The sequence below is a fragment of the Homo sapiens genome, chromosome 5, assembly GCF_000001405.40.
Source record: "Homo sapiens chromosome 5, GRCh38.p14 Primary Assembly".
Taxonomy (NCBI): domain Eukaryota; kingdom Metazoa; phylum Chordata; class Mammalia; order Primates; family Hominidae; genus Homo; species Homo sapiens.
The window spans coordinates 134,350,749-134,364,041 of NC_000005.10; the positions used below are offsets into that span (position 1 = coordinate 134,350,749).

The 13,293-nt window shown below is 41.2% G+C and overlaps 1 protein-coding gene across 27 annotated transcripts in view; it reads right to left on the minus strand.

Annotated features, from left to right (window-relative positions):
• CDKL3 (cyclin dependent kinase like 3) overlaps positions 1–13,293 on the minus strand; it is an 88,280-nt gene that overhangs the window by 67,404 nt on the left and 7,583 nt on the right. For 20 of the 27 annotated variants that reach the window (XM_024446091.2, XM_024446099.2, NM_001300853.2 and 17 more), the window contains one exon: positions 9,149–9,343. The exons of 6 other annotated variants lie outside the window; for them this stretch is intronic. In XM_024446091.2, coding sequence (XP_024301859.1) covers positions 9,149–9,343 — 195 coding nt within the window. Of the gene's footprint in view, positions 1–9,148; positions 9,344–13,293 lie in introns of those variants that run through there. One more of the 27 variants, XM_047417269.1, reaches the window with a different exon arrangement.

Genomic DNA, 13,293 nt, shown 5'->3' on the forward strand with positions numbered 1-13,293 from the left:
GCAGGAGGATCACTTGAGGCCAGGAGTTTGAGACCAGCCTGGGTAACAGAGTGAGACCCTGTCTCTAAAAAAAGAAAAAAAAGAAAAAAAAAAAAAGAAAAAAAGAAAGAAAAAAGAAAGAAAGAAAAATAACTTATTGAAATTTTACTTTCCTTTAACCCTATGTCTCACTCCAGTTCCTGCCCTTTCATGTCCTTCACAGCTAAACCTCTTGAGACATTATCTGTACTCAGTCTTCACTTTCTGACCCAGTCACTCAAGATAATGTAACCTTCTCTTTTGTTCCTACATTGCATTAAACTTCTCTAGCCAAAGCCATCTACATTTTTCCTACATCCAGTAGCCACCTCTCCACCCATATCGTACTTGATTTCATAGCATAAAAAAATGCCAACTATTCCTACATTCCTGGTTTCTGAGACCTAAAATGTTCCAAATCTCCTCCTACCTACCTGGCAGCTCCTCTTTCTCTGTCTGTTCCTAAAACATAGGGTCCTTGTCTTAGGCTTTCCTCTCTTCATATGTATCAAGTTTCCTGGTCAATCTCACGTACTCTCTTTTTTGTGGGGTGGGGGAGCCACTTTTGTCACTTGGTTATAGGGACAACACTCTTGGGCTTCTCCCCACTTACTGGCTGCTCCATCTCAATCTGATCAACTCTTTTTAAGAAATTATTTTTTAAAGAGATAGGGTCTTGCTCCATTGCCCAGACCAGAGTGCAAAGGCACAATCAAAGCTCACTGCAGCCTCAAACTCCTGGGCTCAAGCAAGGAGCCTACCACCTGAGACAATCCTACCACCTCAACCTCCTGAGTAGCTAGGACTATAAGCGCGTGTCTGTAGTCCTACAGCCTACAGTATTAGGACTACTGGCTAATTAAAAAATTTTTTTTGTAGAGACAGGGTCTGGTTATGTTGCTCAGGCTGATCATGAGTGCTGGGCTCAAGTGATCTTCCCACCTCAGCCTTCCAAAGTGCTAGGATTATAGGTGTGAGCCACCACACCCGGCCTGAATTATTTTTTAACATTGTTAATTTTAATTGATAAATTAAAATTGTATATATCATGTACATGTTGTTTTAAAATATGTATACATTGTAAAATTAGTTAAATCAAGCTAATTAACATTACATCACATACTTATTTTGTGGTGAGAACACTTAAATTCTACTCTCAGCAATTTTCAAGAATACAATCATTGTTATTAACTAGTTACCATTTTGTATAATAGATCTCTTGAACTTATTCCTTCTTTCTAACTGAATTTTTGTATCCCTTGACCAACATCTCCCCAACCACCCCCACTCTAGCCCCTGGTAACTACCATTCTACTCTCTACTTCTATGAGTTGCACTTTTATAGATTCTGTATGTAAGTAAGATCATGCGGTATTTGTCCTCTGTATGACTTATTTCACTTACCATAACGTCCTCCAGGTTTATCCACATCATCACAAATGATTTCCTTCTATTTTTATGGCTGAATAGTGCTCCATTGTGTATACATACTACATTTCCTTTACGCATTCATCCTTAATGGACACTTAGGTTGATTTTTTTTTTTTTTTTTGAGACAGAGTTTTGCTCTGTCGCCCAGGCTAGAGTGCAGTGGCACGATCGCAGCTCACTGCAACCTCTGACTCCTGGGTTCAAGAAATTCTCCTGCCTTAGCCTCCTGAGTAGCTGGGATTACAGGGACATGCCACCACGCCCGGCTAATTTTTGTATTTTTAGTGGAGATGGGGTTTCACCAGGTTGTCCAGGCTGGTCTCAAACTCCTGACCTCAAGTGATTCACCTGCCTCAGCCTCCCAAAATGCTGGGATTACATGTGTGAGCCACTGCACCCAGCAACCTTTGCCCATTTTTTATTTATTTTTTTAAAGACACATGGTTTTGCCATGTTGCCTGGTCTGGTCTTGAACTCCTGGACTCAAGCTATCCTCCCACCTTGGCCTCCCAAAGTGCTGGGATTACAGGCATCAGCCACTGTACCTGGTCCTTTGCCCAATTTTTAATCAGGTTATTTGTTTTCTTACTATTGATTTATTTGAGTTCCTTATATATTCTAGATATTAACCTCTTATTAGATGTATGGTTTGCAAGCATTTTCTCTAATTCTGTGGGTTCTCTCTTCTCTCTATTGTTTCCTTGGATATGCAGAAGTTTTTTTGTTTAATGTAATCCCATTTATCTATGTTTGCTTCTGTTGCCTGTGCTTTTGGGTTCATATCTAAAAAATAATTGCCCAGATCCAATGTCATAGAACTTTTCCCACGTTTTCTTCTAGTAGTTTAACAGTTTCAGATCTTACAATTAAATCTTTATTTTTAGTTGATTTTTGTAGATGATTCATCTATTCTTATAGCTTTAGTAACTGTCCATATACTACTGATAATTTCAACATTTCTACGTCTAACAGATATTTCTCCTGGTTTCCACAAGAAGTGAAAGTCCACAATAAATCCCACAAAACTAAGTACAGGCCCTTTAAATTCAGCAAATCTAAAACTAAAAGCGTCTTCTTCTCCCCCAAACCTACTGCTTCTCAACAATCTTCTATTCCAGTGAATGGAACCACCACTTACTCCATAACGCAAGCCAGAAACCAAGGGCATTTTTCTCCCTCCCCACACTCCCTTAACCTAACTACTGCTCTTCCTAGTTCAGGTCTCCCCAGCTGTCTCACAAAATTAATACACAAGTCTATCAACTTGTCTCCCTGAATTCACATTCGTGCTCTCCAATTCAGTCTCCACAATGAAGTCACAGTACTATTTTAAAATCAGATGTGTGATCATGTCACTTTTTTTTTTTTTTTTTGAGACAGAGTCTCGCTTTGTCACCAGGCTGGAGTGCAGTGGCGCAATCTCGGCTCACTGCAACCTCTGGCTCCCGGGTTCAAGCTATTCTCCTGCCTCAGTCTCCTGAGTAGCTAGGACTACAGGACTACGGGCATGCGCCACCATGCCCAGCTAATTTTTGTATTTTTAGTAGAGATGGGGTTTCACCATGTTGGCCAGGATGGTCTCGATCTCTTGACCTTGTGATCCGCCCGCCTCGGCCTCCCAAAGTGCTGGGATTACAGGCGTGAGCCACCGTGCCTAGCCTGATCATGTCACTTCTTTGCTTCAAGGATTCCTCATCCTGCAGGATAAATTTTAAACTCCCTGAAATGGCTTATAAGGCCTTGTGAGATTCGGCCCCTACTTACCCTATTAACCTCCTTTCCCTAGCCTATAGAATATTAGTTTCCCGATTTGCCAGGGTTTGTCTAATCTCTATGCATTTGTTGATGCTGCTCCAACTGCCTGGCCAAGCCAGCTATTTCCTCAGGACTCAGCTTATATGTTAGTATTAGATGCTCCTTCTATATGTTCACATCAATCTGCACTTCCCCCTTCATAGCATCTGTCATGCAGTACTGTTGTCTGTTTACTTGTCTGAAACCCCCACTAAACCATAAGCTCCGTGAGGGCAATATACACAACTGTCTTGTTCAATTAATATCTCGTGCTCAGTATAGTGCCTAGAACAAAGAGAAGGCATTTAAAAATTTTATCAAGTGAATTATAGAAGCACATACTCATCACCTGTAAAGTATCACAGCACAAGTAGAAATGTCTCAGTGACAGAAATCTGGGATCTTTCCTTGTTTATACAACTTACTACCATAAATCTTTGAGACTGGCTCTTGTTTTGACTCAGTCTCCCTCCATAAATAGCCAAAAAATTAATTTAGGGTAAGCCTTTCTAATTGAGCCACTTTAAAGTTGCCATCTGTCAAAATATATAAATCCTTTTTAACTACCACAATTTTAATTGAGGGCCTACTATATGCCAGGCACTATTCCAAGACCTAAGGATATAATGTGAACAAAAACAGACATTAAAAAGCACATTAAGATACCGCTTCAGGAGCCGGGCGCGGTGGCTCACGCCTGTAATCCCAGCACTTGGGAAGGCTGAGGCAGGTGGATCATGAGGTCAGGAGATCGAGACCATCCTGGCCAACATGGTGAAACCCCGTCTCTACTAAAAATACAAAAATTAGCCGGACATGGTGGCATGTGCCTATAGTCCCAGCTACTCACGAGGCTGAGGCAGGAGAATCGCTTGAACCCAGGAGGCGGAGGTTGCAGTGAGCTGAGATCGTGCCACTGCACTCCAGCCTGGTGACAGAGTGAGACTCCGTCTCAAAAAAAAAAAAATAGATACCACTTCAGGCTGGGCATGATAGCTCATGCCTATAATCCCAGCACTTTGGAAAACGGAGGCAGGAAGATCACTTGAACTCAGGAGTTTGAGACAAGCCTGGGCAACATGGTGAGACCTTGGCACTACTAAAAATTAAAAAAAAAAGTTAGCCCAGCTACTCAGGAGGCTGAGGCAGGAAAATTGCTTGAACCTGGGAGGCGGAGGTTGCAGTGAGCTAAGATCATGCCAATACACTCCAGCCTGAGCGACGGAGCAAGACTCTGTCTCAGGAAAAAAAAAAAAAAAAAAAAACAGATATAGTTCTTTACCATCACAGAACTCACAGTCAGTTGTAAGAGAAACACCTTACTTCATATAATCACACAAATATAAAATAACACAAGTGCTACAAAGGAAAGGAACATAGCATTATAACTTGAATGGAGACATCCCTGGGGAAAATTCCACTTTTACTAAGATCTGAGGGATGAGCAGAAGTAAACTAGGAAAGAGTGGAAGAAAGATAAATCCAGGAAGATAGACTAGTATGTGCAAAGGTATTGTGTTAAGAGGAAGTATGGTAAGAAAGGTATTTATTGAAAAGTTATATCGCAATTCTGAGATGATTTAAGATGAACTTTGATTATAAATTTCTTTTATAAACAGCAATTAAAGTTTTGATAATCTTTCTCTGTCATTTTCCTCTTCTAATCCCCTAATTCCATTTAACAAATTATGCATGCATATACACACGTGTATACATATCCATAAATATATGTTATCTGACTGCTTCCCAAACACAATAACACTTTTCTCATTCTGCGGTATTTCCTAAGCACAGGCCTTAAGAATTAAAGCTAAGCCGCTCCATACTAAGCTGCTGTGGAGACATGGCATGGTAGAAAGGAAAGCGTATGGACTGTGGAAGGAATCTAGTCCCCGCTTCCATCACTCATTAACTGTATTACAGCAGTCTCCAACCTTTTTGGCACCAGGAACTGGTTTTATGGAAGACAGTTTTTCTATGGACCAGGCTGGGGGATGGTTTCAGGATGCTTCAAGTGCATTACATTTATAGTGCACTTTACTTCTATTATTGTTACATTATACTATACAATGAAATCATTATACAACTTACCATAATGTAGAATCAGTGGGAGCCCTGAGCTTGTTTTCCTGCAACCAGATGGTCCTAACTGGGGGTTATGAGAGACAGTGACAGATTATCAGGCATTAGGTTCTCACAAGGAGTGCACAACCTAGATCCCTTGCATGCACAGTTCAGAGTAGGGTTCGCACTCCTATAAGAATTTAATGCCTCTGCTGATCTGATAGGAGGCAGAGCTCAGGTGGTAATGCGAGCAATGCAAAGTGGCTGTAAATACAGATGAAGCTTTGCCTGCTCGCCCACCACTCATCTACTGTGTGGCCTGATTCCTAACAGGCCACAGAATGGTATTGGTTGTGGCCCAGGGGTTGGGGACCCCTCCTGTATGGCATTGGGAAATTCACTTATTAACCTGTGAATTTATTTGGTTACTATTTAAAAACTCTCATTGGTGGCTCATGCCTGTAATCCCAGCACTTTGGAGCCCAAGGCAGGTAGATCAGTTGAGGTCAGCATTTCAAGACCAAAGTTAGTCAGCCTGGCTAACGTGGTGAAACCCCGACTCTACTAAAAATACAAAAATTAGGTGGGTGTGGTGGTGGGCACCTATAATCCCAGCTACTCAGGAGGCTGAGGCAGGAAAATTGCTTGAACCTGGGAGGTGGAGGTTGCAGTGAACCAAGATCATGCCACTGCACTCCAGCCTGAGTGACAGAGTGAAACTCCATCTCAAAAATAAATAAATAAAATAAAAATAAAATAAAAACTCTTATCTCACAATCAAATGGTTAGTTTTGTTTTACATCAAAAGCATTTAGCTCCACGTGGATGAGGGCAACAGCGGGCCATCCTTGGGAGTATCGTATTACTGGTATTTAGTCAGAAATTATCCTATTGACTTTCTTGCCCATCCTATGCTGTACTACTATATCGTTTGTGCCACGAAACTTAGCACTTCATCATCTACACTTTTATACTTATTGTACCATCTGTCTAAGCCTATTTTCTCAACTATAGTCTTTGAAGGCAAAATATCTACTTATTTTGTATCCCCAATATTATTTAGTATGGGTCTATCCAAACACACTGATTATTGTTTTAAGAAAATGTAAGCCGGGCGCGGTGGCTCACGCCTGTAATCCCAGCACTTTGGGAGGCTAAGGTGGGCGGATCACGAGGTCAGGAGTTTGATATCAGCCTGACCAACACGGTGAAACCCCGTCTCTACTAAAAATACAAAAATTAGCCGGGCATGATGGCACGCACCTGTAAACCCAGTTACTTGGGAGGCTGAGGCAGGAGAATCACTTGAACCCAGGAGAAGGAGGCTGCAGTGAGATCACGCCATTGCACTCCAGCCTGGGCTACAGAGCAAGACTCTGTCTCAAAATAAAATAAAATAAAATAAAATAAAATAAAAATACAAAAATTAGCCGGGCCTGGTGGCAGGAGCCTGTAATCCCAGCTACTCAGGAGGGTGAAGCAGGAAGAATCGCTTGAACCCAGAAGGCGGAAGTTGCAGTGAGCCGAGATCCTGCCATTGTACTCCAGCCTGGGTGACAGAGAGAGACTCTGTCTCAAAAAAAAATACTGTAATAACCTCTGACTTCACCCTTTGTTTTCATCCCTCTCATATCTAATTACTTCCCAAGTCCTGTGATTTTCCTTTTGAAATATTTCCATCCTATCCCTCTGCCATCCTTCCTCTCCTTCCCATTGCTACTTAGTCCAAACCGTTACCACCCACACATCTAGATTGTCACAACAGCTACCTGTCTGATCTCTCTGGGTCTCTATCTACTCATATCTTCTACTCATGTTAAAATAAAATTAGATTTTGTTTTCATCCAGTCACAGCAATGCTCAAGAACCTTCAATGGGCTGGATGTGGTGGCATGTGCCTGTAGTCCTAGCAACTTGGGAGGCTGAGGCAGGAGGATCACTTGAGCCCAGAAGTTGGAGGCTGCAGTGAGCTATGATCATGCTACTGCACTCCCATCTGGGCAACAAAGCAAGATCCTGTCTCAAGAAAAACAAAAATAAAAAAACAACAAAATCTTCAGTAGTTTCCCAGGATCTTCAGGAAAGAGTCCACCCTCCTGTGGGTAAATTTCAAGGTTCTGGAAAATCTCTCCCCTGTGAACCTGTGTAATCTTATCTTCCTCTATCTGTTGTTCCCTGTAACCTGACTTAACAGCACTCTCTGAAGTCCCCTGCTCCGGTCTACTTCTATTTTCACAATGGTACCCCACCTGAATGCATTTTCTCCTCTACTCCAACAAAATCCTAGCTACAGTTCAAAATTCTACTTACTTTAGTTTTACCTCATCTTGGAAGTCTTCTACTGTCAGTTTAGCCCAGACTGAGATCTCCTTTTATTCAAGAAACATTTTTAGAGTCTAATATAGACAAGGCTCTAAACAGATACAAAGATAACACCACTATTCTTGACTCCCTACCAGCTTTCTTTTCTTTTCCTTTTTTTTCTTTTCTTTCCTTAACACAACTATTAATATTCCTCACTCCAAACCAGCTTGCTATATTTATTTATTTATTTATTTATTTTATTTACTTACTTACAGAATCTTGCTCTGTCAACCAGGATGCAGTGGTGCAATCATAGCTTACTGCAGCCTTGACCTCCCAGGCTCAAACAATCCTCCTACCTCGGCCTCACAAGTAGCCGGGAGTACAGGATTGTGCACGATGCCTGATGCCCAGCTAATTTATTTTTTATTTTTAGTAGAGACAAGGTCTTGCTATGTTGCCCAGGCTGGGCTTGAACTTTTGAGCTCAAGTGATCCTCCTGCCTCAGCCTCTCAAAATGCTGAGATTAGAGGTGTGAGCTACTATAGCCAGCCTACCAGCACTATCTACTGAGCACTTAAAATGTGCCTGACACAGTTTAAATGCTTTATACCTAGTACCTAATTTGATCTTTTAAAAAATCTGTGCCAGGTGCAGTAGCTCACACCTGTAATCCAGCATTTTGGGAGGCTGAGGCGGGCAAATCACTTGAGCCCAGGAGTTTGAGACCAGCCTGGGTAACATGGGAAAACCCCATCTCTACAAAATATTGGCCAGGTGTGGTGGTTGATTGAGGAGGAGCACCGTCATCTCGGACAAACACCGAGATGTTTTAAGGAGAGGCAGGAGAATTGCTTGAACCCAGGAGGCAGAGGTTGCAGTGAGCCAAGATCATGCCATTGTACTCCAGCCTGGGCAACGAGAGCAAAACTCCATCTCAAAAACCAACCAACCAACCAAACAAAAAACCTGCTGAGCTAAACACTTACAAGCCAATGCTAAAGTCAACACTAAACATCAGAATAGCTGTGATCTTTCCTCTTCCTTGATTTTTCATAGGTTAAATGACAAGGCCTCAAACCGCTCCGCCACTTTATATCTCCTTTCTTCCCCTAAAGGCATCCACAATTTACTTACTATTCCCCCCGCCTTTTTTTTTGTGAGGCGGAGTCTTGCTAAACCTCCCTTTATATGAGCAACTCTCCATTAAGCCACAGACCTGACTTTCAATGTTTTAATATACTTTCTCTAATAATAGTGCTCCAGCTGACTACTGATTCTACTAAACAAAATTACTGATACTGCCTTTACCATCCCATACTTGGTCTGCCTTATAGTTGGAATTACTGAGTGCTCAATATTTTTTGGTTCTGCAACTAAAAGGTAGTGCCCCCTATTCCCTATCCCCATTTTCAGGATGTCTATTATTATTGTATAGAAAAAGAATGTTAGCCACCTTCATAAAAATAAAACAATGTATAAGGAGCACTTATGATTCATATTCATCCTACAAATTGGCTTATTCTGAAGCACTTACATTATTACTGTGAAGATAGTCAATTGCTCGAAGGATCTGGAAGAGGTATTTTCTAAGTCGCTTACTCTCTAGTCCATGACAATAATGTTGTAACTCATCTAATACTGTGTGGTCAATAAATTCAAATACCAAATGAATTTTCTTTTTCTGTCTAAAAACTTCAATCAGATTGACCAGGTTTTCGTGATGAAATTGCTATTGACAAAAGAAACAACACAAATTTTTAATTATTTCAAGCCTAACAATTTGTACATATAACGTGTAAATTTTGTAAAGAAACAGTCATATTCTTAGCTTTGTTCCATGCATTTCTTTTTTCTTTTTTTTGAGATGGAGTCTTGCTCTGTCGCCAGGCTGGAGTGCAGTAGCACAATCTTGGCTCAGTGCAACCTCCACCACCCTATTTCAATCAATCCTCCTGCCTCAGCCTCCTGAACAGCTGGGATTACAAGCGTGCACCACCATGCCCAGCTCATTTTTGTACTTTTAGTAGAAACAGGGTTTCACCATGTTGGCCAGGCTGGTCTTGAACTCCTGACCTCAGGTGATCCTCCTGCCTCAGCCTCCCCAACTCCTGGAATTGTAGGTGTGCACCATCATGCCCAGCCTATGTTCCATGCATTTCAACTGAAATTTCTCAACCAATGTGCTTCCATTCCTATTTTAAGAAAATGTAATCCATTTTATAATCAATATTTATAGGACAAAGTGAGATATATTACTTTATCTCAAGTTGGCATTTGGTTGCTTATTAAAATAATTTAATGTACTATAACTTAGTATTCTGTTGAAAGATATCCTGCTATTTTTAAACTTGGTTTGTGGTTAAATTTAACACCCAAAATTTAAAAGGCCCTTATGTTTTCAAATGAGCATGGATTTCAACACGATTAAGTATGTGATCTGAATTTATATAAATTAATTATTCTCTAATTTTAAACCTAAACTCTAGAAAGTAAACCATAAGTTCTAGGGAGCATCATAAATTCATTAGACTATAACAAAAGAACACCAAAATATATGCAAAATCTTCAGATATGTGAACTACCAATTTATAACCACAGAAACTTTACATAAATATGTAATTATTTGTGGGTGAACGTTTGCTCCTTGTCTGTACTCTTCTATTAAACAATTAACCACCTTTTTAGACTGGCAACAATTATTGCTAAAATAATTTTAAAATGTAAATGATGCCCATGTATCAGCTTAGGAAACAAATGAGATTTAATATTGTATGCTACTTATTCTATTTTTCATCACACTGACTTAATTATAATCAATTCTGAAATATTTAACCATTTTGTTCAAACTATCAAGAATATGTGTTCAATTAGCTAAAAATGAAGGGTTTTTTTTTGTTTTTTTTTTTAAGAGAACAAGTCTTGCTATATTGCCAGGCTGGTCTCGAACTCCTGGCCTCAAGTGATCTTCCTGCCTTGGCCTCCCAAGTTGCTAGGACTACAGGCATGAGCCACTGTTCCTAGCTCTAGAAAACTATACCTTTATGAAAATATATTTGCCTTCATTCCAATAACACAGTGTCAATTTTTCTACTTCTCTGTAACTAACGAAGAGACTAAAGTCCTTAAAACATGACTAGAGAAAAACATCCAAAATATAACACCAGATTCCTTTCCTTTTTGCTCCAAATTTCCCTGGTTGGCAAGATGCCACAGTGCTGCAGCAATAGCATATTGACAGCAGTGAAAAGAATTGACTGTTGGCTGGGCATGGTGGTGCACACCTATAATCCCAGCACTTTGGGAGGCTGAGGCGGGCAAATCACATGAGGTCAGGAGTTCGAGACCAGCCTGGTCAACATGGTGAAACACCGTCTCTACTAAAAACACAAAAATTAGACCAGCGTGGTGGTGGGCACCTGTAATCCCAGCTACTAGAGAGATTAAGAGAGGAGAATCGCTTGAACCCAGGAGGTGGAGGTTGCAGTGAGCCGAGATTGTGCCATCGCACTCCAGCCGGGGTGACAAGAGTGAAACTCCGTCTCAAGGAATTGATTGCTTTTGGACACTACCATATTAATCCTCTACTTAAGGAAAATTACTGGTTTCCTGTCCAGTCTTTATTTTAAAGGCAAAAGCAGTGAAAGTAGGGAAGGGGTAATATGAATAAGCATTGTAGAAGATCCATTCAGGGATGAGGAATTAGGTACAGTATTTACTCAGATAAACCATGAAATGAAATCCCTAGAAATGCTCTAGTACCCCTCTTCAAGTTGTTTAATTTTTTCTCCATTACTAGACAACTTTTCTACAGATATTCTCACTAATTACTCTAACTGTAATTTATTTAATGAAATTCTAGCATAAAAATTTAGTTTGGGTCAGGCCGGTGGCTCACTTCTATAATCCCAGCACTTTGGTAGGCCAAGGCAGGCGGATCACCTGAGGTCGGGAGTTCGAGATCAGCCTGACCAACATGGAGAAACGCTGTCTCTACTAAAAATACAAAATTAGCCTGGCATGATGGTCCATGCCTGTAATCCCAGCTACTCAGGAGGCTGAGGCAGGAGAATCGCTTGAACCCGGGAGGCCGAGGTTGTGGTGAGCTGAGATTGTGCCATTACACTGCAGCCTGGGCAACAAGAGTGAAACTCTGTCTAAAAAAAAAGTAATTTGAATTAAGTAATTATGACAAGTTTTTTAGACTAAGAATATTAACTAGTCCAAGAAATCTCTCCAGTGGAATTAGATTACATCAAATTTAAAATCCTATAAAAAGCCAGTGAGTGCCAGGTGCAGTGGCTCACACCTGTAATCTCAGTACTTTGGGAGGCTGAGGTGGGCAGATCACATGAAGCCAGGAGTTCTAAATCAGCCTGGGCAACATGGTGAAACCCCGTCTCTACTAAAAATACAAAAATTAGCTGGGCGTGGTCGTACGTGCCTGTAATCCCAGCTACTTGGAGGCTGAGGCATGAGAATTGCTTGAACCTGGGAGGCAGAGGTTGCAGTGAGCCAGGATCGTGCCACTGCACTCCAGCCTGGGCGACAGACAGAGTAAGACTGTCTCAGAACAATAACAACAACAATAACAAAAAGCCAATGAGAATAGTTAGGGTATCTCAAAATTATCTGCATAACAGTTGTTACAGTAAAACACATATTCAAGTTCATCTCTGTATTGTCACATACTGGTTAGTTTTCCAAAATGATTAAATAGAAAAAAAATAATCAATTTAAGTGCAACAGTTGAAGAAAGAGCAAGAGATACTGCCTTGGGGGAAAAAAATCTCCTAATCAGATTTTCATTCACAGTACACAATTGCCTTATCTATAGTATTATGTTTTAGGTCATCAGGACATGAACTGATATCTTTCACAAAATCATAACATCTTTACTGACTCACTTTTCATTGTCTAGAAATAGAGCTGTTCTATTTATTTATTTATTTGAGATGGAGTCTCGCTCTGCTGCCCAGGCTGGAGTGCAGTGGCGTGGTCTCGGCTCACTGAAACCTCCGCCTCCCGGGTTCAAGTGATTCTCCTGCCTCAGCCTCTTGTGTAGCTGGGATTACAGGCCCCTGCCACCATGGCCGGCTTTTTTTTTTTTTTTTTTTTTGAGACAGAGTCTCACTCTGTCGCCCAGACTGGAGTGCAGTGGCGCAATCTCAGCTCACTGCAACCTCCTCCTCCTGGGTTCAAGCAATTCTCCTACCTCAGCCTCCCGAGTAGCTGGGACTACAGGCACACACTGCCATGCCTGGCTAATTTTTTGTGTTTTAGTAGAGACAGGGTTTCACCATGTTGCCCAGGCTGGTCTCGAACTCCTGAGCTCAGGCAATCCGCCCGCCTCGGCCTCCCAAAGTGCTAGGATTACTGGCGTGAACCACCGCGCCCAGCGTAGAGCCATTCTAATAATCCACAGATGCCTAATATATTTCCTCAAATTAGGCCAGGCACAGTGGCTCATGCCTGTAATCCTAGCTCTTTCACAGGTCCAAGACAGGAAGATCGCTTAAGCCCAGGTGATGGAGGCTGCAGTGAGCTATGATCATGCCACTGCGCTGCAGCCTGGGCAACAGGGAGACTCCATTTCTTAAAAAAAAAAAAAAAAAAAAAGAGAGAGAAAGAAGGCAAATTGATCCATCATATCTCATATAGACTTACAAAGAAAGAAGAAAA